Below are 25167 nucleotides of genomic sequence, written 5' to 3' on the forward strand. Positions count from 1 at the left end.
CATCAATTCACCTGGTGGGTGACTGCTTTCCAATCCTACATATTTCCTCTCACCAGTGCCAGTTCACCAGCCACCATGCATTCCATGGTCCACTCGGTGAAGGGAGGAGAGGAAGGCGGATTCTAAAGTGGCTGAATAGCAAGACTCCCAGAGGGATCTGCTGCTCCTTCCTCCTCCATAGCACTTACTAGTCCGAACTATTTTTTTTTTTTTTTTTGAGACAGCGTCTGGCTCTGTCGCCCAGGCTGGAGTGCAGTGGTGCGATCTCGGCTCACTGCAAGCTCCGCCTCCTGGGTTCACGCCATTCTCCTGCCTCAGCCTCTCAAGTAGCTGGGACTACAGGAGCCCGCCACCGCTCCCGGCTAATTTGTTGTATTTTTAGTAGAGACGGGGTTTCACTGTGTTAGCCAGGATGGTCTCGATCTCCTGACCTCATAATCCACCCGCCTCGGCCTCCCAAAGTGCTGGGATTACAGGCGTGAGCCACCACGCCCGGCTAGTCCGAACTATTATACATTTACTTTTTTATTGTCTGTGTCCTCACTAGATTGTAAGCATAATAAGAACAGGGATTGTCAGCAAACAAAAACATAAAGTGGGGAAAGGACACTTTATTTAACAAACGGCGCTGGGGTAATTGGCAAGCCACATGTAGAAGAATGAAACTGGATCATTATCTCTCATCTTATACAAAAATCAACTCAAGATGGATCAAGGACTTAAATCTAAGACCTGAAACCATAATAATTCTAGAAGATAACATCAGAAAACCTCTTCTGGACATTGGCTTAGGCAAAGACTTCATGATGAAGAACCCAAAAGCAAAAAAAACCCCAAAAAACAAAGATAAATAGATGGTACTTAATTAAGCTAAAAAGCTTCTGCACAGCAAAACAAATAATCAGCAGAGTGAACAGACAACCCACAGAGTGGGAGAAGATCTTCATCATCTGTACATCCAACAAAGGACTCATATCTAGAATATACAAGGAACTCAAACAAAATCAGCAAGAAAAAAACAAACAATCCCATCAAAAAGTGGAGTAAGGACATGAATAGACCATTCTCATATGAAGATATACAAATGGCCAACAAACATATGAAAAAATGCTCAAGATCACTAATGATCAGGGAAATGCACATCAAAACCACAATGTGATACCACCTTACTCTTGCAAGAATGGCCATAATCAATAATAGATGGTGGCACGGATATGGTGAAAAGAGAACACTTTTACACTGCTAGTGGGATTGTAAACTAGTACAACCACTATGGAAAACAGTGTGGAGATTCCTTATAGAACTAAAAGTAGAACTACCATTTGATCCAGCAATCTCACTACTGGATATGTACCCAGAGGAAAAGAAGTCATTATACAAAAAAGATACTTGCACATGCATGTTTATTGCAGCACAATTCACAATAGCAAATCTATGGAACCAGCCCCAGCCCAAACGCCCATCAATTAACGAGTGGATAAAAAATTGTGATATATATATATGTGTGTGTGTGTGTGTGTGTGTGTATATGTATATACAGGGCTCGGCGCACACACATATATACATATATATACACACACACACATCATGGAATACTACTCAGCCATAAAAAGGAACAAAATAATGGCATTCACAGCAACCTGGGTGGAATTGGAGACCATTGTTTTAAGTGAAGTAACTCAGGAATGGAAAACCAAACATCGTATGTTCTCACTCATAAGTAGGAACTAAACTATGAGGATGCAAAGGCATAAGAATGATACAATAGACTTTGAAGACTTGGGGGAAAGAGCGGGAGGGGAGTGGGGGATAAAAGACTATACATAGGGTACAGTGTACACTGCTTGGGTGATGGGTGTACCAAAATCTCAGAAATCACCACTAAAGAACTTATTCATGTTACCAAACAGCACCTGTTTCCCAGAAACCTATTGAAATAAAATAAAATAAAAAAAACTGGGAAAAAAACAAGAACAGGGATTGTCTGTTGCTTTTATATCACCAGTATCTAGAATAGTGCATGGGACATAGTAGGTGCTCAATAATATGTGTTGAATAAATGAATGAATGCACGAGGTACCCTAACCAAATATTCTTTTTTATTTTTTTATTTTTTATTTTTTTTTGAGACAGAGTTTCACTGTGTCACCCAGGCTGGAATGCAGTGGCACAATCTTGGCTCACTGCAAGCTCCACCTCCCAGGTTCACGCCATTCTCTTGCCTCAGCCTCCCGAGTAGCTGGGACTACAGGCGCCCGCCACCACGCCCAGCTAATTTTTTTTTTGTATTTTTAGTAGAGATGGGGTTTCACCGTGTTAGCCAGGATGGTCTCGATCTCCTGACCTCATGATCCGCCCGCCTCGGCCTCCCAAAGTGCTGGGATTACAGGCGTGAGCCACCTTGCCCGGCCACCCAATATGATCTTGAGGAGACTAGTTGTGACTAGATGATTTAGCGATTGCTAAACATCCCCACTGTTCTCCCTATATTAGCACTTATACATCTCACAATCCCTTTCTGATGGAAACTTGCAAAAATAAATGGCTGCAATTTCTTTCCCTCCCTGTATTTATATTCATGCCTTTACAATGAGACATTGTAGCTTCTTCTTCCTTCTCCTTCTTCTTCTTTATAAAGACAGAGTCTTGCTCTGTCACCCAGGCTGGAGTGCATTGGCACAGCCATAGCTCCCTGCAGCATTTACCACCTGGGCTCAAGTGATCCTCCCACCTCAGCCTTTCAAGTAGCTGGGACTAAAGGTGTGTGCCACTGCGCCTGACTAATTTTTAAACTGTTGTTGAGATGGGGTCTTTCTATATTGCCTAGGTTGGTCTTAAACTCCTAGTCTCAAGGGATCCTCTTGTCTTGGCCTCCCAAAATGCTGGGATTACAAGCATGAGCCACTGCATCTGGCCAAGTTCTTCTTTTTTTTTTTTTTTTTTTTTTTTTTTAAATTAGTCTTTCTCAACTTTTGAGCTAGACTTGTGATTTGTTTTGCCTAATGGACACTAACAGACTCACAGACTTGAAAAGTGCTTGCATGCACAGTGAAATCCTAGGTCCTCATGCGACCAAGACATGCAAGCCTATAGCATAATAAGAGGCAAGTGGCTCAGTTCCTCTAGTGGCCCAGCTGGCAATGAACTAATACCCAGAAGCTGAGCCACTATCTTCAGACACATATGTGAGGCCAGCTGAGATCAGTTGAGCCCATTCCAGAATTGCCCAAAGCAGAATCATGACCTAAATGGCTGTTGTTTTAAGCCACTAAGTTTAGAGTGGTTTCTTTCATGGCAAAAGCTAACTCATATACCTGTATATGTGAAAAAGGAGAAGGCAGGAGTTAAAGAGTGAGGAAAAAGGATTTTAGTTGGCTTTAGTGGATATTGGTATAAGATTTCATAGTTCCAATAGCTAGGTCAAGCCCAAGGGGTAATGTTATCACTGCTGGGCCATGGAGCAGATGTACTTGGATTTAATGAGACTTTTTCAATGCAGAGAATGACAGTTAGTATTAATTCACATCATAGCCTTTTTCTTTCGGACATAGGAAGTCACGTTTGTGAAGCAGGTATGTCTTTATGGCTTCAGGACCTAACCATGGTGGTTCTTATCAGCAAGAGAATGATTCTGTTTTTTTCTAGTAAGTTAGGAATAAAGATTATAGAGGCCTATTTTTTTTTTTAATAGAAATTAGAGTAGAGAATAAGGGGCATCAGCTATTGGCCACTATTTGCCCTGGAGTAAATCACACGGGGGGTAGTAATTTCATCTCAAAGGAAAGGAGGAGCCGGGGAGAAGAGTCATTGAACATGAAAGGCTGGTGCAGCATTCTGTTGTGGGGGTTATTTGGGAAAGGCGCTCCAGCAATGTAGGAAGCATAATCTCATCTCACTGCCATTTATTGACTTTGTGACCTGGAATGAGGTTTTTCTTATCTAGAAAGTTTAGACTTTTATCAAAAAAAATGTGACTATCTGGCTCTCTGCCAGAATCTCTGCTTGGGTGTTCTAGAGCTTGTCATTGGGCTGCAATGTGCCAGTTCAGAGAGTTCCACATGGGAGGTGTTGGAAAGAAGTGATTTGGAATCGATGCTAGTCAAGGAGTGTGCCTGGGCTAAAGTGGGATCTATCTCTTGTTCATAGCCCAGTTTGTGTTCCTGGGAGAGAAGCAGGTATTTATGGCATCATGACGGGACAGACTGTGGGAATCTGTTGATGATTAAGCTGTGTAATATGTTGAAAGCTGCAACATACCTTTGAAATACAGGCTTGTTGGCCAGGCGCGGTGGCTCATGCCTGTAATCCCAGCACTTTGGGAGGCCGAGAAGAGTGGATCACTGGAGGTCAGGAGTTCAAGACCAGCCTGGCCAACATGGTGAAACCCCATCTCTACAAAAATACAAAAATTAGCCAGGCATGATGGCGGGTGCCTGTATTCCCAGCTACTCGGGAGGCTGAGATGGGAGAATCACTTGAACCCAAGAGGCGGACTTTGCAGTGAGCCAAGATTGCACCATTGCACTCCAGCCTGGGTGACAGAGTGAAACCCCTACTCAGAAAAAAAAAAAAAAAAAAAAAGAAAGAAATACATGCTTGTTGACATGCAACAGAATTGATGAAATTTCTATAACATATCCTTAATGCATAAGTTCTCTGCATCATGTCGTGAGTGTCCTTACACAAAATAAGAAAAGGTATTGCATTAGGTTCAAGAATGAAATTTCAGAGCCAAGGTAATGGATGACCCAGCTGCACACTGATTGAGGAATAATCTGTGAAGAAAAACAACAGGAAAGTGATTTGTGGAAATTCAGCTGCACTGCGAGATCACTGAGATGTAAGGATGTATCCACTTATTCAAGGCCTGAAGTGGTTTTCTGCCTTCACTCCTTATTTATCAGAGAGATACCTATTTTTCTTAAAGGTTCTCAGTAATTCCAGCAGATTCTTCAGTAGATAGCAGAAAATGTATTCAGACTCTGGGAGAAACATTAATTTATTGATTCACTGACTATTTACTGTTTATGATAGGCTATGCACTGTTCTAGGCACTTGAAATGCATCAGGGAAGCTGGGCACGGTGGCTTACACCTGTAATCCCAGCACTTTGGGAGGCCGAGGTGGGCGGATCACCTGAGGTCAGGAGTTCGAGACCAGCCTGGCCAACATAGTGAAACCCCGTCTCTACTAAAAATACAAAAATTAGCTGGGCGTGGTGGTGGGCGCCTGTAGTCCCACCTACTTGGGAGGCTGAGGCAGAAGAATGGCTTGAACCCTGGAGGCGGAGGCTGCAGTGAGCTGAGATCGTGCCACTGCACTCCAGCCTGGGTAACAAAGCGAGACTCGGTCTTAGAAAAAAAAAAAAAAAAGATAAAAGAAATACATCAGGGAATAGAACTCACAAAGATTCTTATACTGTGTGGAGATTGACAGTAAGTCATAAACATAAAAAAGCAAGTAAATATAAAGTTTATTGGAAGGAGATGTGCTATGGAATTAAAAAAAGGTATAGTAGGGGTAAGGGTTACAGGAGTGCTGAGGGTCAGTTGCAGTACTGAGAAGGTGGTCAGAGTGGACCTCATGGGGAAAGTGAAATCTAAGTGAAGACTTAAAAGAGGGAATACCCAGGCACCACCACAGAGAGATAGCAAGCACTCCTGTTTATCTGTGTCCCTTCTCCCCAGGATCCAGTCAAATACCTTATATATAGCAGTGGCTTAATTAATCTTTCTTGATATGAATTAAATTGAAGATGACCACATATTTCTTCAGCATATGGCAAATGGCTTTTTCCAAGAAAAAGAGATAGATGTTTTTATTCTTGCTATATCTCTCTTTTCTTTCCTCCCTCCTTCACTACCCTCTCACTCTTCAATCCATTGTGATCTGGATTCTGTCTTGATCACTCCAGTGAAATGTCCCTATTTTTGCTTTGGCCAAGCTATGGCTGTGAAGAAAATGCTAGAGCTGCTGTGATTTTTCTACTAGCAGCCAAGTGGGAGTGCTAGTGCCACGGTGGGAGTGCAAACAGACCCTTCCTCATTCTAGTGGCCCCCTCATGCCAGGTGCCAGCCACCTAGACCACCAGGACACATTCTCTCCTCTCTCCTCCTGCCATAGAATCCCTGGCAGAGAGCAAGAAGAAACTTACTTTCCTTGGCAGCCAGAGGGGGTAAGATACTAGCTTCCTTTATTCAAGGGGGAAATTGATTTGATTGACAGACTAGAGAGAGCTGCTTCTCATTTAACCCACCAAAAGATATTATATGGCTTTAAGCCGTGTTCAGGAGCACGAGAAGGTAATAAAGTAGGAGTATGACCTTAATTCTCCTGGGAGGGAGAGTTGCTGCCAAACCGACACTCAAATTGTTTCTTTCTTTCCTTTTGCAGGCCCTCTGTGCATGCCATGCTTAATAAGGTAATAAAAAGGTAAGATTATAAAGAAGGAAGAGGCCTATCAAGGAAAGAAGGCTCTTTATTTGCTTTGCTGTCATGGTATCCTTCCCATTCCACTGGCTTCCAGCACATATGTGGTAAGTGGCTGAATGGCAGTAATAGAAGAATGAATGAAGGTTGCATGAATTAGGAAATGAATTTGCAGTGTCCTCAATGTTGTTGTAGTCTTGTGATGGAAAGCAATCCATCTTCCTCTCAAGAGGTGTTTAGCTTGTTCTCAAAACCAGAGCTGCTCCTTGGTCTATAAGTGCTATTGGGGTGTGGCAGCAACCTGGGGTTGGGAGTCTTGGGCTTTACCTTGATGTACTGGGTCACATTAGATGGTTAGCCTATAGTTTATTTGCATCCACCACTGGTTTGCATACACAACTGGGCACATTTTGGGAGCCACGTAAATATTCATGTATAAATTAGTCTCCCTATGCCTTTGATGCCTCAGTTTCCCTGGTTGTAAAATAGTATAATACACTGGAAAGATCCTCTTCAGGCCTTCTCCCAATTATGCATGAAAATACTTTGGCAGGCCAGGAGTGGTGGCTCATGCCTGTAATCCCAGCACTTTGGGAGGCTGAGGTGGGTGGATCATTTGAGGTCAGGAGTTCAAGACCAGCCTGGCCAACATGGTGAAACCCTGTCTCTACTAAAAATACAAAAAAATTAGCTGGGTGTGGTGGCAGACGCCTGTAATCCCAGCTACTTGGGAGGCCGAGGTAGGAGAATCGCTTGAACCCAGGAAGCGGAGGTTGCAGTGAGCTGAGATCATGCCACTGCACTCCAGCCTGGGCAACAGAGGGAGACCAAGACTTAAAACAACAACAACAACAACACAACAAAACTTTGGCAGCATGCTGTTCACAAGAATGGGACCAGGCCTGTGGAGCTTTCTAATACCTTCAGGCACAGTCTTTATAAACACTAGAGAGCATTACTTTGTCTTTCCTGGAAACTTCTAGGTGTTAGGAAGTCCTAGCAGCAGTCCTCAGGGTTCGTAATCATCACATGCCGGTTGCTTATTCAGCAATAATAAGTAACACTGAGTGCTATGTAAATATCGAGCCCTTTCCTAGACGCTTGTGCTTACTTCATTTAATCCTCACAACATGAGGCAGGTAAGTACTATTAGTATCCCCATCTTACAGATGAGAAAACTGAGCCCCAGATAGATTACATTACTAAGTTTTCCAAGACTTATAGCTGACAAGTAGAAGAGCCAGGATATGAACCCAAGCAATTAAGCTCTAGAAGTTCTCTTCTAGCCATTGAGTTGTACTGGTTGTTCTTCAGCAACTGCTAACACAGTATGAGAGTTTTACAGGAATCTTGAGCAAGCTTTGCTGGTAAAGGAAATGTTCTATAGTTGTCTCTGTAATTTTTTTTTGAAGAGATTCCAGTGGGAGAAAGTACATAGCTAGTAACAGTTCTATTCTTCTTGTTAAGGGCACAGGCTAGGACATCATAGCAGCGTTCTTCACTACATCATAAGTCTACTTATGTTAATATATGTAGCAGCCATTCTGAAACTCTGCATTTCTGCTTGTTAAAAAGGAGGTGAAAAATGACCAACAACACAAACTTCGAGAAGCATATGCAAATACTACAGTTGTATTCAATATCAACTTTTATTGTAGCTTCCCCATAAGCAATTCTGAGATTATAAATACAGTCGTCTCTCAGTATTGTCAGGAGATTGATTCCAGGACACCCGTGAATACCAAAATCCACAGATGCTCAAGTGTCTGATATAAAATGGTATAGTGTTTGCATATAACCTACACACATCTTCTTGTATACTGTAAATCATGTCTAGATAACTTATAATACCTATTACAATGTATATGCTATGTAAACAGTTGTTATTCTGTATTTTTTCACTTGTATTATTTTGATTGTTGTATTGTTAGTTTTAATTATTATTATTTTTCAAATATTTTCAACTCATAGTTGGCTGAATCCATGGATGTGGAACCATGGATACTGAGGGCCACCTGTCATTGCTTCCAGGTGACTGTTACTTGTTTAGCATCTGTCACTTTTCTCTTCCACTGCTCACTTTTTTTTTTTTTTTTTCAGACAGAGTCTCGCTCTGTAGCCCAGGCTGGAGTGCAGTGGCGCAATCTCGGCTCACTGCAACCTCCGCCTCCAGGGTTCAAGCAATTCTCCTGTCTCAGCCTCCCAAGCTGGGACTACAGGGGCCCACCACCATGCCTGGCTAATTTTTGTAATTTTAGTAGAAATGGAATTTCACCATGTTGGCCAGGCTGGTCTCAAACTTCTGACCTCAGGTGATTCACCCACCTTGGACTCCCAAGGTGCTGGGATTACAGGTGTGAGCCACCATGCCTGGCCTCCACTGCTCATTTTTTAAAAAATCTAAATTTAAGAACAATCCATGAATTACTGGGGCAATTGCTTTTTTTGACAGATAATATAGCCATGGAAATTCCTTCTCAATCATTGTTCTGCTGACTAACTCAGGCCACCGTATTTACTGTAGGCTAAGGACAATGGGGGTTACATGGAAGCCACGATGTCTGTCTTACTGGAGGTTTTCTATCCATTGGAGAAACAAGAATATGTACATGGATAATTAAAGGATAGGATGAAGTAGCATTTGGTATGTGTACTGGGGGTGGCACAGACACTATGCTCCACGGGAATGAACTAATGATGGAGCTGGAGTGGTCAAGGAGAAGGTCATGGAGGAGGGCAGCTTTACTCCTACTGAATGGGATGGGGAGGATTTTGATGGGTGCAGAGAAGCAAAATTGCATTTCTAGTCTCATGTGTTATTGAGGCAGCATAGTTCAGGGGCTCTAAGAAAAGTTTCTGGAACAAGGCTGCTTGGGTTTAGATCCTGATTCTGCTACTTTTTAGCTGTAAATCTAAAGAAAAGTAGAAATTTGACTTCTCTGAGGTTTAGTTTTCTAATCTCTAAGGAGGTAGAAGGAGGAAAAGAGAATTTCAGTCAGGGTCCCAACAGGAAACAGATGGTGTCCTCTAAACAGGATGATTTATTTACAAGTATTAGTGCAGTAACGTGGAGCAGGAGCGGTGAGGGGAGAGGATAGGATATTATTATTAGATCCTTAGGATTGAGTGGGAAAGAAGGGTCCCTAGGAGCAGTAAGCCCAGTGTGGAGGAAGCCACCTCCAAAGAACAGTGCCCTTCAGGCTGGGGGCAGAACCAGCCTAAAGGAGCAGAGGGAAGGAGCCAGGACAAGCAAACACCTTCATTGCTCCATTGCTCTGATTTTTTGCCTGGCTTCATCCCTCTTTCCCTATGAACCCAGGAGCCCAATCAGGAAGCTACCATCTTGGGAAATGGATGAAACCATCCAGGTCAGGCTATCAGGATAAGAACCTGGAAGAGAATGGAAGAGTCTGGATCTGGAGAGGCAGACAGAAAGTGACCCAAGAGGGAACAGCAAAATGCGAATGATGTATTTTGTTAGGGAAAGGCTTGCTGCTTGACTCTAAGGCAGGGCGACAATAAATGTTGGAGAGAGATGTGGTAGGTTGAGACCCTGGGCTTCCCTGTTTGTTGCCTCCCCATGGTACTACACACTTTCCTTGAGGCAACTGTCTCTCAGGAACTTCTCTCCTTCTGCAGGCAGCAGTGCCTGTCTACATCCTTCTAGAGCTGCGTCCCTAGAACCACTTCAGCCTCCTTAGTAGCTGGGACTACAGGTATGCACCACCAGGCCTGACTAATTTTGTATTTTTTTGTAGAGACAGGGTTTTATCATGTTGCCCAGGCTGGTCTCGAACTCCTGAGCTCAAGTGATCCACCTGCGTTGGCCTCCCAAAGTGCTGATAGACTCTTCCTCCTTCCTTGCCTGTGGTTTTAAGAGCTGCCCTGATAACTGCAGCCTCGTTGGATTTTCTAGAAAGAAAGAGAGCTAGATTTAAAGCTGCTCCCTGAACCATAATCTCTGAGCTGTCATAGAGCCAGGCCATGTAATGCTTTGTTGCGGAAAAAAAGCTAATGTGACTCATTACAGCCTGATGCAGAGATTCCCTCTGACAGACACATGCGGTAATGGCTTGGAATGAACACACTCCTACGAACAATTGGAAAAGAGACTTCGCATTGTTCTTTTAGCCCATAATTGGTTAGCTGTAAAAAAGGACTGCATTGGTCGTACTACACATTTCCACTCTGAACAATGCCTTTATTGGATCAACTTAAATATATGAGGAATGAAGCAACCCAATGTCTGTATGTAGGTTTGAAAAACCAAGGTGTCCCTACAGCCAAGCCTTTAGGGGGTGCTGCTCTATTGCCTAACAGTTGTGTTTATGTTTCTCTTGCCATATTGAGCTTGACTCTCTCTTTCTACATAATGTTTTGGGGGGTAAAGGACTGTAGGGCTTGGGGACAAGCAGAAAATTACCCATTAGCAACTATCTCCATGAACAGATGCATTTGCCCCCTTCCCCGCCCTTACAGACAGAGCTTGAGAGGAAGATACCCACCAAGGGAAAGTTCTGAATTACATCTGTCTTGAAGTTTTAATTCTTTTTTCTTCCAGGTGCTAGTTCTGAGCCATTAAGCCCCAAATCAAGGGTGGTACTGCTTCCTTAGAGAAACAATGACATGGCAAGACATTATATTTCTTTCTAGAAAGTCATGCATTCATGCTCCTCTTATCCAAATTGTAGGCCACTGAGAAAGCTGGCTAATTGCAAAGGGGCTGGATTTCAGGGTGGGAAGAGTGAATGGGCCTTATTTTCTGATGAACACAGATGAAGTTGCAATTTGCCATCTTCAATCAACATCATCGGGAGGCATCAGCAAAGGCCACCCACTAACTGTGTTTTTGTAACAGAAATCTGAGATCCCTTCATATGACAGTTCTCAAGGTCAGCTTTCTGTGTTTTTCCATAGTGTCCTGCACTTATAGGATGATCTCAGATGAATTTGAATTGGTCTTCAATTTTGCTTTTGGATGCATATAAAATAATTCCTTTTGAAACAATACCCTCATGATTAAAAAACCACTGCAGCTAAAAATATTTAAATCAGGAAGAATCCCAAATAAAGAACTTGGCAAAACACATAAGATATGACAAAATTTTTGCTGGCAGAATATAAAATAGATATCAAAAGACTAAACTACACATACGGCACCATGAAGTGCTAGAGTTTTGCTTGGTATCGTTTTGCCCAAGATGTTTATACATCTCTATGTAACTGCAGCTAATCATATAAATTCTTTGTTTCAGTTTGAAATCTGCTCAGGTTGACACCTCCACTTTTGTGTTGATTTTCTCCCATCTTCTGATCTGTCTGCCTTTTTTATTTCTAAAGAATAAATTATTGGCAGAGCATGGGCTTGAGAAGCAGAGTTTTGATTCTCTTTAATTTTTTTCTTCTTTTCCTCATCTTCCTGTGCTTATCTCTGGCAACCCCTGATCTTAAACTCCAGACTTAACTCACATTATCTCAATAAACCCTTCTTGTTTTAATTCCCTGTCAGACTGATCTTTTCCTTTCCTCCCTCCTTCTTTTCCTCTCTATTTTTTATTTCTTTCCCTAGATGTCCTCCATTTTATGGGTCAACTATAAATTATAAACTGACACATATCATGGGTGGATTGTTCTGCTTGGTGGGCAAGGTGGTCACAACAGATTTCATGACATCAGCTTTTCCACTTAAAAGGGAAAGGCTTATCCTAAAACTAGGACCATTCTTTTCTTTTTGTTAAGACTTTCTCTGCCCAATTTCACTTTGGGCAAAGGAAAGTGTAAACAGTGATCATGGCTGTTATCCTCTCTCTACCCAAAACAGGGAAGCTTCACTCATGTTTTTGTTTGTTTATTTGCTTGTTTTTTAGAGATAGGGTCTCAAAAGAAAACTTCAGCCCAGCTTGAAGTCCACTAGTGCAATCACGGCTCACTGCAGCCTCGATATCCTGGACTCAAGCCATCCTCCCACTTCAGCCTCCCTAGTAGCTGGGACTACAGGCATGCACCACCAGGCCTGGCCAATTTTGTATTTTTTGTGGAGACAGGGTTTTGCCATGTTACCCAGGATGGCCTCAAACTCCTGAACTCAAGTGATCTGCCTGCATTGGCCTCCCAAAGTGGTGAGAATATAGGCTTGAGCCACCATGCCTAGCTTCACCAATGGGTTTTGAGGCTTTTGGGTAGACAGAGGTGATCCATGACAGCATTGGGAGTTTCTATAGGAAGCATTGTTTGGGAGACCAGAGGCCAGGAGCATGAGGATGCCAGGGTGTGGCAAGGGGTTCATCTCACTGTCTTTATTCCATTCAGCACCGGCGTCCCCCAGAGTAATAAGAGCTGTGAGCATCTCCAGGGCATCTGTCCAGGGAGAGCTCTCCTTCCTCTCTCAGACCTCACCACCCTCTGACTCTCTACTTCCTGGCAGCTTCTGTATCGTTCTTAATGTGGATGTGATCCCATGGTTGAGGTTTAGGGGTTTTTAGATCCCTAGATCTCACAGGGGCTGCTGTCACCTAGGAGCAGCAACATTTTCGAATATTTTCCCTTTAGCAAAAATTATTCAGTATCCTCCCCCTATTTTTTCTTTCCTAGGGAAATAACTCTAATGTTAAAACAATAGATCATTGGTTTCCATCTAGACCTGACTAGATTCCTCCTTCCTGTGATTTCATATCTCACTTTTTCTGAGTGTTCAGCCCACAGTGATTTTTCTATTTCCAACTCCCATAGAGGATACTAGGTCTCCCTGAGGGTGGGCACTGCTTCTTATTCTTTGTGAATCCCCAGAAGTGAGCAGAGGGCATGCCACTTGACTGGAACTCCATAGTACCTTCTGGAATTCACCATGCACTGATAGTGCAACTATTTTTTTTTCACATAAATATGTTTTGCTTTTCAGCTAGATTTCAACTCCCCGAGATTACTGCACCATGTAACCACCGCAGAGTGTGCTGTTCTTTGGATGGAGTTAGGTGCTCATTATAGACTTGTTTTGATAATCATGACTAAACATCACAAATGTTTTACTGAAATCTTTCACTGTGTCAGAAGTGTGATGGGCACATAGGATAAAACATGAAAAAACTTCCTGTTTTTTAGGAAGTCAAGTTATAGCATCATAATAATAACAATCTAGTTTTACTTACTAGATCCATGAGGTCTGGCAGAGATACTAATCTTAGCAAATACCCATTGATTTAATCACCATTATGTAGACCTGATTTTGGAAGCACAGTACCGTATTGTCATCTGATCGCCTGGCATGTTCATGTAAGGCTGGGATTGAATTGTTTTTGAACTGCCATGAGTCATGCCAATGAGCTGCATGCACTATTTCTCATTTAGTGTCTTGCCCATCTAAATTCAAACCAACTGTCAACACAGGCTCTGTGCTGGGCACTGGACAAAGAGAGAGCATATGTATTTGACACATTACTAATTCTCAAGGGCTCACAACTGGGACTTACATCAACACTGCTTACCCCTACTAGGAGGCAGACTGCTAAATTCAAGAATAGAGATAAAAACGTAGCATTACTGGAGTGATTAATTTTGACTGCAGTGATTCTGGCAGACTTCACAAATAAATTGACATTTGAGTTGGCCCTTGATATTGGATTTTGACAGGCAGAGATGGAAGGAAAGAGCAACCCAGGCAGGTGAAACAGAATGAAAAAAGGCACGAAAATGTGAAAGTTTCTTCCCTAAGTAAGCAGTGGAGGCAGAATACTTGGGCATGGTTTGAATATAGATTTTCTAGGGCTGCGAATGACCCAAATCAGGGGCTGCCGTGGCATTTTCCAGGTCAAATTAGGCCACTGGCCAAGATTTATTTGGCCTAGCACAAGGTTTTCCATTTTTCTGACTTGCTGCCAACATTTAAAAATCAGGAGTTTTCACAGACACATTTGGATTCTGGCTGCTCTTGAAGAAAATCTAACAATAGAGGGTCTGCATTTCCTCAAGGCAGCAACTGGCTGGCACTGAGTAATGGCTGTTCTTTTTAAACAGGCAAGAGCTCTTCAGCTTGTGACCATCCTAACTGGCCTCAATCAAATGACACAGGCAGGTGTTTGAGTTTGTGCCCTCTGACCTAAAAGCTTTACTGACTCCTGCATGCTGGGAGAGGTGGTGTCGATTGCAGGGAGCTTTATGCAGTGGTTGATTAAACACACATCTGGAAGACTCTTGGGAATTGGCAGACTCTTCAAGGAAGAGAAAGTATCAGGAAGTCATCCCAGCTGCTGCTCTGAGGAATCTTGCTTGTCTAATTAGATCTTAGGCTGGCACACCTGGTGGATTTTTCGAGGCAGGGAATAATGACCCTCACAGTTTAAAAGATCTCTTTCCATGGCAACCCACAATGCTTTAGTCAATTTGAGAGCTTGTTAGCATCACGTCTCTAGTTTATCTTTCCCTTATAAGTGAGTTTTCTTTCTTTCTGAATTGCATACTGGTGGCATGCCAACAAGAATCAAAATCCACTTTCAGAACAAAGGAGGAAATATATATGTGTTTTTTCTCTTTAATTTCCTTTGTTCAGCTCTTATGCCAGTCCGATATTCCTACTTCTTGGACCTTTGTGAGCCAACCTTTTATTTCCCTTTTTCTTATGGAAAAGTGCACTTTGATTGCACTGGTGCTTATGAACCAATGCAGGAATTTTTTTTTTTTTTTTTTTTTTTTAGACAGAGTCTTGCTCTGTTGCTCAGGCTGGAGTGCTGGAGTGCAGTGGCTTAATCTCAGCACATTGCAGCATCTGCCTCCCAGGTTCAAGCGATTCTCCTGCCTCAGCCTCCTGAGTAGCTGGGACTACAGGCACGTGCCACCACCCTACCCGGCTACTTTTTGTATTTTTAGTGGAGATGGGGTTTTGTCTTGTTGGCCAGGCTGGTCTTGAACTCCTGACCCTAAGTGATCCATCTGCTTCGGCCTCCCAAAGTGCTGGGATTACAGGCATGAGCCACAGTGCCTGGCCAATGCAGGACTTTTTAATACAAATGCATGTGAAGGCCCTCAAATGCAAACACACAGAAACATACGTAACAAAATGCACTTGTTTATGTACTGTGTACACACAGAGACCTGTGAGCTCTTGCTCATATACAAACTTGCTCTGTGCCTGATGCCTATTAGGAGTGAGAGGTTCCTAACTGACATAACCTTCTTTTCAGAAGAATAAAATAGAAGGTTACTGAGTCTACGAGCTAATCTGTCTAATTAGATGCCTCTGAGCAAAATGCATAAAATTTGCATGAATTATCTTAACATGCAAAGAATAGGATACTGGGAGGAAAACCCAAGAAAATTTGCATTTTGATGGGGGTGGGGGAAGTTTGAGGGCTATCATATAGAAGATCCTTTCTTTTATGTTTTGGGACTCAGTTCAAGAGGAGCTGCAGTGGGCTGACTAACATCAGCAAAGACAGCCCGTATATCCTTGGGCTCTGCAAGCAGTTACTCCAAGTCTTGTCTGCAGACTGTACAGTGGAACAGCCATCCAACCCCAACTGGGGAAACTTCATTAAGGCAGTGCAAAGTAATCAGTTTCAGTCCTGGCCTCTGGCTGGCTTGAAGGACAATCCCTTCTCAGCTGTAGGTGGCACTGTTGTATCTATTGTAAGAAGCGCTGTACTTCGGCTAGCTACATCACTGCTATTTAAAATGGAGGAAAAAGAGAAAAAAAATAAAATCCAACTCCCTCTTCCTCCTTGTCCCACTCCATCTCCTAACATGCACTGTACACCCTACCTGGGCAAACCTCCTCCATGCCACCCAGCGGACATTATATGTTGTTTAAGCTTATATGTTTTGTTTAAAATCAGTGGTTCTCTTAGGCCCTTTGCAGTGTATGTGCAATTTAGCTCTGGGATGTTTCATCTGAAGCTCAACTGCCTGAGATGATACTTGCTTCTCCCCATTCTCCTCCCCTCTACCCTCCCTATTTTTCCTTTCCCTGCTATAACTCACATTCACATAGTGATGGGTGGTATTGGAAGACAGACTGGGGAATAGTCTGTGTCTTGGACTCTGGAAGAGGCACTGGTTAGTAATAGAAATAAAAACCGCAGGAGCTGAGTGGCAGTGTGTGCTGGGGAGATGGCAACTTGACCGAAATGGGAGCGTGGGAAGAGAGCCAACTCTTGCTTCTCCCATTTCATTCTTTCTGGCAGTTCAGAAAACTGGTTTCCCCTGGGTTGACAGGCTTGGGCCAAATATGAGAATTAAATTCTGACATCTAGTTAGAGGTAGTGAGGTTGAGGTGGTGGAAGAAGAACCACTCCTTAGGAGTGCCTCAGCTTCCCCAGTGCTGAGATGGAACGTTGTACTGACCCATTAGGCAAAGCCTTATGGACAATATTAAAATGATGTGTATGGGAAAAAAAAGTGATAGGTTTAGGAGATGGGAGCTAATTCTCAAAACATTGTAGTATATAATGAAAAGACAGAAAAAATACAAGAAAAATAGGTAATATTTGGATAGCAACTTAAACTTTGCAAAGTTCTCCCACCCTCAATATGAAGCATCTTCTTTCCTCTCTCAGCATTGGTATCCCTGTTTCACATAGGAAGGCACTGGGTCCATTCAGTGACTTGCTCAAGGTCATGGAGGGAGAAGTAGAGCCAGTTCCTAAAACCAGGTTGTCTAACTCCAAGTTCTGCCATCTCTAGGTATTTGTTTCATTTTTTATTCCCAAATAAATACTGCAGTTGAGAAGCAATACCCAAGTCTAAAGAATCAACGTTTGATTCTTGCCACCCAAGAATCAAATCAAGATATTATGCTTAAAGCAATAAAAAGAGGTATCCAGTCTTTTTTTATTTGTTTGTTTTTAATGAAAATTCTGACTTTACATTGACTTCAGAAGCAATAACCTTAGGGTATCCTCTCTGTTCCTTTGTTAATTTTGCTGTTTTTTCTTTAGCTTATAATTTTATCTCTTTGAGCCTCAATGGTATCCTCTGTAAAACAGGTTGAATAAACTGTTTCTAAGCTTTGGGCATCTAGGGAAAACAAATTAATGCTTTATATGTCACTCAGGGTTCTTTGAATGAAAAATTCAAGATGAGCATTAGTTTTTATCATTGTTTTAATAGCAGTTTATTAAGCCAAAACCTTAGGGAATCATGTAAGAATATATGATTTCCTCTGCCTGATTACATCTTTATCTGTGAGTTTTGTAAAAGTTTACAATGGATGAAATAGTACTTAACAGCTTCATAAACCAAACTGTTATGCACAATTAAATGGTCTTCACTCTTATTATCTTAACTAATGAATTTTGCCAGGCATCTCCGTTATAGCTGTATGATTTATAAAGATTATATTTACTTTTTCTCCTTATAAGAACCTAATGAGACCAAATTGGTTGCATGTAATCAGACACTGGCCTTTTTCATCTCTTCGGGTTTTATTTACGAAACCTTATTAGAGCAAACGTACTGAGTAATATGCAGCGATAGCTAGGTTTTGCTTAATGATCCAAACAGCCAACATGGAATGCAGATAATGAAATGACAGGCTGATTACAAATGCGAGGAGAAAAGTAAATGTGCTCAGAGCCCATTTCTACAATCCTTACCTAGGCAGAACACCCATTAACATGTTTCAACCTAAGAACACATACTTCTACAGAGGCCTAAGATAAGACTGTAACACATATCTCAGAAACTGAGGGTTGAGTTGTTTTCCAGCAGTGTAGGATTGGGCCGAAGTATTATGTACAAGTGGTTTGTGTGGGATGATTATGCAGTGGCACCAAAGGTTTGATGAGCCCCAGTTCATGAAGGCAAACTGCAGGAGATAGTTCATGGAGCTTGCATTCAACAGCCACTACTAAAATAAATAATAATTTGGACTAACACGAGTGTTTTCCCTCTTAGAATCTCTTTTAGTGCTAAAACCTAATACAATCTGGATTGATATTATCCAAGTTAGTATTAATCACATGACAATCCTCTCTCAAAGATAGAAGCAGACTACATTAAGACATTGCTGGACTGTCTTAGTCCATTTTGTGTTGCTATAACAGAATACCTGAGGCTGGGTAATTTATAAAGAAAGGAGGTTTATTTAGCTCATGGTTCTGCAGGCTGGGAAAGTACAAGAAGCATGGTGCTAGCATCTGCTTGGCTTCTGATGAGGGCTTTTGTGTTGCTCCATAACATGGGGGAGAAGGTCAAATGAGAAGCAGACATGTGCAAAGAAGCAAAATCATAGGGGGATTCTGCTTTTATAACAACCTACGTTTGAAGGAACACTCCGGCAGGAACTAATCCAGTCTTGTGAGAGCAAGAACTCACTCAACTACTGCAAGAATGGCTCGAAGCCATTCATGAGGGATCTGCCTCCATGACCCAAACATGTCCCAGCAGGCCTTGCCTCTCAACAGTGCCATATTGGAAATCAAATTTCAACATGGGTGTGGATGGGGACAAACTCAAACCACAGCATAAACCAAGTGCCTAACATCAGTGCTTTTATCATGGCTGTACGTGTTGGAAGCTCTTAATCCACAATCTCTTCTTCCTTTCCTTACTGTGATGTTCCCTTATTTTAACAAAGCAAAGATTTACTGTACTTTTAGCAGTAGAACATGGAGCTGATTTTTTCTGATTTGACTTAGAAGGCCCTGAAGGAAGAGGGACAGCCTTATTGTTTTCCCAGATGTCACTCTTAAATATTTCCATTCTTCTGTAATATTTGACTTTGTAATGACTTGGCCATTCATAAAACTTTCCCAAGCAATGTTTGAACCCATTTATACATTTATATCCTCTCTGTACCAACTGCTGGTATAATGCATTTGGTAAGTTTATTACCCTTTGGGTGAACAACTTCCTCTATAAAGTTTCAAAGGGCGTCCTCTCATACTAGTATTTTGAGATTTGGTGAATAAATCAAAACAGAATAAATCAAAATCTTATTCATGTTATTGAAGCTTTTGTAGTTTAAGACGATATTCCCAATCTGGTCTTGACATTTACAGGCAACTGATACCTCCAGACCTTGGACTTCTGGTTGTTTTGTGTAACATTCGCTGCAGAATATCCCACTAGGAGAATGCTATTTGGGGATTTTCTTATCCAGGCCCTGTTCTTTATGTTTGTTTCCTTCACCTGACTAGACTACACTAGTCTAGAATAACCTAAAGTCAATGGGGAAAACAGTTATGGGATTAGATAATGCTACAGGCCACTGTTATTGTAGAATGAAGAAAGTCAAGCTCAAAGAAGTAAAGTGACTTGCCCAAGGTCACAGTGCTAGTTAAAAAGAGATCTGGATTGGAACTGGACTCTCAGATAAATATTCTTTCCAAGGACTTGCTAAAGGTCAAACTGCTAACTATTTTTTTGTTATCCTCATGTGGTCGAAAGTTCCCATGATCAAAAAGTATTGAGATTAGAATCTCGAAGTAGGCTGTTCTTTCTCCAATGCTCCCTCATTCCCCATCATGTCTTTCATTCTGGTGAATGTGTTCTTGGTCACTCTTGCCAGAGACCCAGTGTCTTGGTGCTACTTCCTACCTGCCTATGGCTTACCGTGTCCACCATGGTGACCTTTATGATCTGTGCTTCTGGCAGTCCCCATTTGACTTCTCTGCTACTTGCTCCTCTTCTCAATTCCATTAACCCACCATATGGCCCCTGCATCAAGACCTCCTACTCTGGTTTTACTACCATGGCCTTGATACCCTAAGGACAACAGTCAAACTGGATATACCATTCCCAGTGGAGATCCCCAGGATTTCAAATTCTTAAATGCTTTTATCCGCTCTCCTTTTCTTATTAAAATCAAACAAAGAGTAAATGTAAGGGCTGCATGTGGTGGCTCACTCCTGTAATCTCAGCACTTTGGGAGGCTGAGGTGGGAGGATCGCTCAAGGCCAGGAGTTTGAGACCAGCCTGGGCAACATAACATAGTGAGACCCCATCTCTACAAAAATATATACATATATATTAGCCAGGTGTGGTGGCGTGTGCCTGTAGTCCCAGCTACTCAGGAGGCTGAGGTAGGAGCATTGCTGGAGAATTGCTTGAACCCAGGAATTTGAAGCTATAGTGAGCTATGGTCACACCACTGCATTCCAGCCTCAGGCAACAGAGCAAGATCCTTTCTCTCAAAAAAAAAAAAAAAAAAAAGAAAAAAGGGTGAATGTTGAAAATGTTGTAGATCTCCAGGAATCATGATCAGTCTAGGAGGAAGATTAGATCTTTTCTTTTCACTATCCATTGCTTTCTGGTGTTGGCCTGCTCTGTAGCTGATCCTTTATACTTGACTCTGGACTTATCTTTTGCATAGAGGAGACAGTGCCATCATTTTGATGGTGTCCTTTCCTCCCAGAGGAATGCATGGGGTTTGAAAATGACCATCCACATGACAAGACAAGAGCACTCAAGGAAGGGGAATGCAGAAAACAGAGAAAAGGAAAGGACTATAGAAGGCTGGCTTTTCCTGGTACCACCTTGTATTTCTCCTCCCAGTTTTGTCTCATTTTGTTCTGTTTTATGGCTTTTAAATCTCCTTTCTGTGTCTCTCCCTTTCTTCTTACTGTAATACCCTCCTAGGCACATTTCTTCTTGAGCCGAAACACAATTTTTCTGGGTTACACTGTCCCAGAGAAGTTTCTCCTGGTGAACCCCCTCCAATTCTCCACCAATTTTAGCTGTCTTGATATGTTCTTCCCATTTGCCTGTTCTGTTTGGGATTTTGAATTTGAGGCAAACATTTACACCTTTTGCATTTAGAGTATATAAGATGTTATTTCAGGGCTTGGTGTCCTGTTATTTTCATCTGAAGCATTTGAGCCTAAAAGAATTTATTCTCCAAACTTCTTTATCCACATTTATGAGCATCTTGCAATAACAATGGTAGATGTTATCATTTTTAGTTACTTTGTAGATTGCAAAATGCATCTCCAGGCTTGCTTCATGTAGCTGCTTGACTTGCCTGCTCTGTGTAAAGGTTCCATGTATCTGTCTGATGGTTCTATCTCTCTTCTTTTGTAAGCTCATGGCTAGAGATGCCATTAATTCCTTCCACCCTGTTGTCTAGAAATACTCTGCACACAATGGACCCTTGATTTTCTGAATAGGTTTGTAAGTCTCAGTTGTTATTTCAAATGTCCCCACTACAGATTTATTCTAATTTAAGAAAACCCAACACAAACCACTAGAATTTACAGACACATATATTATTTGTATTACACAATGACTTATCACTGGACTTTCTCTAATAGCAAACTTCTTTAGCGTATTAAAGCTATTTTTATTTTAGAAGGCAATTTAATTTGTATGGAAAAATGCATGAACTGGAGTCAGTCACATTGATTGGATGTAATAAGAACACTTGATTCTTAGAGACAAATGGCCTGGTAGTATGTCTTTTGATCATATAGTTATGTCATACATGAAGGTGACTTTGACATTATTATGAATGGTAAGTTCTCAATTTACAGAAATGAAAAGTATGTAAGGATGGATAGTATAGAAGGAAGGAACAGTGTTCTCCTGGGTTTCAGTCCAGAGCCTAAAATCTAGAATCTATCCTAAAATGGATACATTGGAAAAGAACTGCCGACACACACACACACACATACACACACACACACACACACACACACACACACACACACAGAGACTATTCTACCCTCCTCTCCTCTACCCCCACTTTTTCAGGTAGGAAGAGGGCAGCCCCAGAATCGTGTTGACTTAGCTTGAGGACTTTGCTCAACCTTGCTAGGATCACTTCCTAGGCTTTGTGAGATTTGCCCCAGTGAGTTTCACTTTTGCTGTGACCAAGGCACACCTGTTCCCCAGGGCTGGACAAGAAAGCTATCAGGCCTTCCTGAGCCGGTCCAGCTCCTGGTTCAGCTCAGCCATGTGGAACCCTCCACGACTCACTTTCCTCTAACTGAAACAGCCAACCTCTCAGTCCCCTCATTCTCTCTCTCCCACTCTTGAAAGCCAATTTCCTGCTTCAATCTTATTCTTATGAATAGAAACACAGAGCTTGCATGGAGAATGAGAAACTACTGTATCATAGGAAGCAATCACACAGAACACAAAAAGCCATTCAAAGTAATTAAACTACTCCCATCCCCTTTTCTATATTTCTTTTCAGCTCAGCACTGATGGGCTGTTTATCTTTGCCACCACAACTGTGGCAGCGGCAGAGGAAACAGCAAGCCATTTTCTGCAAGGGCACATGCCGAGAGGGCAGAATTAAGACAAATGCTCTCATTCTTGGCTGCCAAAGCATTTTAGCTTCTGAAAAGCAAGGGAAGCAATGCCATCACCCTGTGAAGAAATAAATAAATAAAGGCCCGGTGGCAAGAGAAGCTTCTGGGTGATTTTCCACTTGTCAGAGGAAAAGGGGGATGGGGCCAGTGAAGATGGGGGTGAGAGGGAGGGGGGAGCTCATTATCTTCCAGCCCCTGAAGCTTTTGTTCTCTTCAGCTGTGCTAAGGAGGCTGCAGCTCTGCTCCCAGCTGTGCAGAATCTTGCAAGCGAACTAAGAAGAGTCTGAGACCAGCAATATGACTCCAGCAGGCATCGCTGCAGGGAGATGACAGCTGGGCAAGAAAGTGGAGCCCCCAGATTCCCAGTTAGCAAGACTGAGCTAACAGGGCTCTCCATGTTAATACCTGCATGGATGCTTTTCCAGTACAGCTGCAGAAAGAGACTGCTGAGAGGTTTGCCTGAGGGCTGTTTGCAATTTTTTCCCTTTTGTCCTGGCCCCAGACTGTCCATAGCAGCTGCTGCACCTTGGCGAGCATCATGGGGGAGTTTAAAGTTGGAGAAAAAGGGAGGATCTTAGAGTGGTTCAATCGCATCTACTGCTCAATATCACAAACGCATCTTGAATGTGTTTGTTCTGTTGTGAAAATCAATGCTTCTTCAGAATAGCTGGTGTTGGGACTTCAGTAAGAGAGCTCGAGGAAGTTTGCCTAAAGAAGGGCTTCTGGGCTGTCAGTAAGTCAGGCAGTCAGTCCACAGCTCTTTCTAGGTGGAAACTGAGAGGTGTTACAAAGGACCTACATGAAAAACCTAACAACCGGTTCTCTGTGGAGAAGCCTGGACTGCTTAGAAACATATGCCCCTTAGGGGTGTACTCTCACCTGCTACTACTGCAGTCTACCAGACCTGCTGCTACCTTTTTTGGGGTTTCAAGCAACTTTCCATCTAATAGACAACCTAACCCAGCTTGAAGATTTTTGCAGAGGATGGTCCATAAAATGCCAAATCAAGCTACATGGACCATCTCAGGTTTATTTGAGGACTAAGTAGCTTGCATTCCACTCCTGGGCGCTGCCCCACTCTCCACTGCACCCATAGATTTACCATGGTAGATTTAACTTCCCGGTTGAGGAAAACACCAATTTCAGAGTAGCCCCAGAAGCCCTGCCTCCTCTCCCTCCCAAGTCCCTGTGGCCTTGCAGGGAGCTGCCTGTTTGGTTTAATCTGGGGAGCTGGCACCTCTCCCATTCCCTACTGTCAGGCCTGCACTGTTCAGCATTCTTGTTTTTGCATCTGTCATTATCTTTTGTATGCAAAGAGGTTTAATGTGCAATAAATGTAAATGGCCAGTATATAGTCTGTGTTTTATTAACTTCCATTTGAGCCTGTTGTCAGTGACTACTCTGCCTTGCCAGGATTCATTAGCAAGACCCCCAGCCCTTGGTTTCTGCAACCGCCCAGTGGGTTCCTCTTGCCCACTTCCCAGACAGAATAGATTTTTCAAGACAGGGGAATTGCAATAGAGAAAGAGTTTTACACATGTAGAGCTGGCTAAATGGAGGACTGGAGTTTTATTATTACTCAAATCAGCTTCCTCCAAAATTTGGAGGCTAGAGTTTTTCAAAGATAGCTTGGGGCGAGGGTTGGCTAGGGAATCGGTGCTGCTGATTGGTTGGAGGTGCAATCATGGGGATGTGGAAAATGGTATGGTTCTTTTGCACTGAATCTGCTTCTGGGTGGGGCCACAAGACAGGTCGGTGGGTCCTGGTGGAGCCATTCATCATCAGAAATGCAAAACCCCAGAAAGACATTTCAAGTGGCCAGTCATAGGTTCTGCAATTGTGAGGTTATCTGCAGGAGTAACTGGGGAAGCTGCAAACCTTGTGGCCTCCAGAGTAATGACTGGTAATTGTTTAAATCTACACCTTAGCAGAATTCAGGCTCCTCATCCTCCTAACCTGGTGGTCTCTCATTAGCTTTATAAACATGGTTTAGTTTTGGGGAAGGGCTATTATTTAAACTATAAACTAAATGTCTCCCAAAGTTAACTTGGTCCAAGTCCAGGAATGAGGGCAGTTCAGAGGTTAAAGACAAGATGGGGGTAGATTAGATCAGATCTGTTTCACTGTCATAATTTTCTTACTACTATAATTTTTGCAAAGCTGGTTTCATTTTCTTTGCTTGCCCTGTCTCATTTCCAAAAGCTTCTTTGCCCAACTTCTATTTCTGCAGAGCCCACTGTGCCCTCCTCTAGCTTTCAGGGTGAAGGGTACACACAAACTTTCCATGGCAAAGTCTTTCTGGGATGGTTTACTTCAACCATTACCCAGACTTGACCTATCTTATGTGTGACTGTGACAGCAGGTGGAGAACTACTGAAACTATTTCCTAAATTTAGGTAAAATCAAATGTTGCTACCTAGTCATGACCATCAATCTTTTCTCCCCTACTTAAATATTTTTCAAAGATCCAGTCTTGTAATAATTTCACCTGCTTTGC

At 42.4% G+C, this 25167-nt stretch overlaps 1 long non-coding RNA gene across 5 annotated transcripts in view; it reads left to right on the forward strand.

The window, feature by feature from the left end:
• Positions 1 to 25167, forward strand: part of LOC105379364 (uncharacterized) — a 535736-nt gene that overhangs the window by 67519 nt on the left and 443050 nt on the right. For all 5 annotated transcript variants that reach the window (NR_189605.1, NR_189606.1, NR_189607.1 and 2 more), the window contains one exon: positions 6394 to 6536. This is a non-coding gene — a long non-coding RNA (uncharacterized LOC105379364). The remainder of the gene's footprint in view (positions 1 to 6393; positions 6537 to 25167) is intronic.

Source organism: Homo sapiens, chromosome 8 (assembly GCF_000001405.40).
Source record: "Homo sapiens chromosome 8, GRCh38.p14 Primary Assembly".
In the NCBI taxonomy this organism is placed as follows: Eukaryota; Metazoa; Chordata; class Mammalia; order Primates; family Hominidae; genus Homo; species Homo sapiens.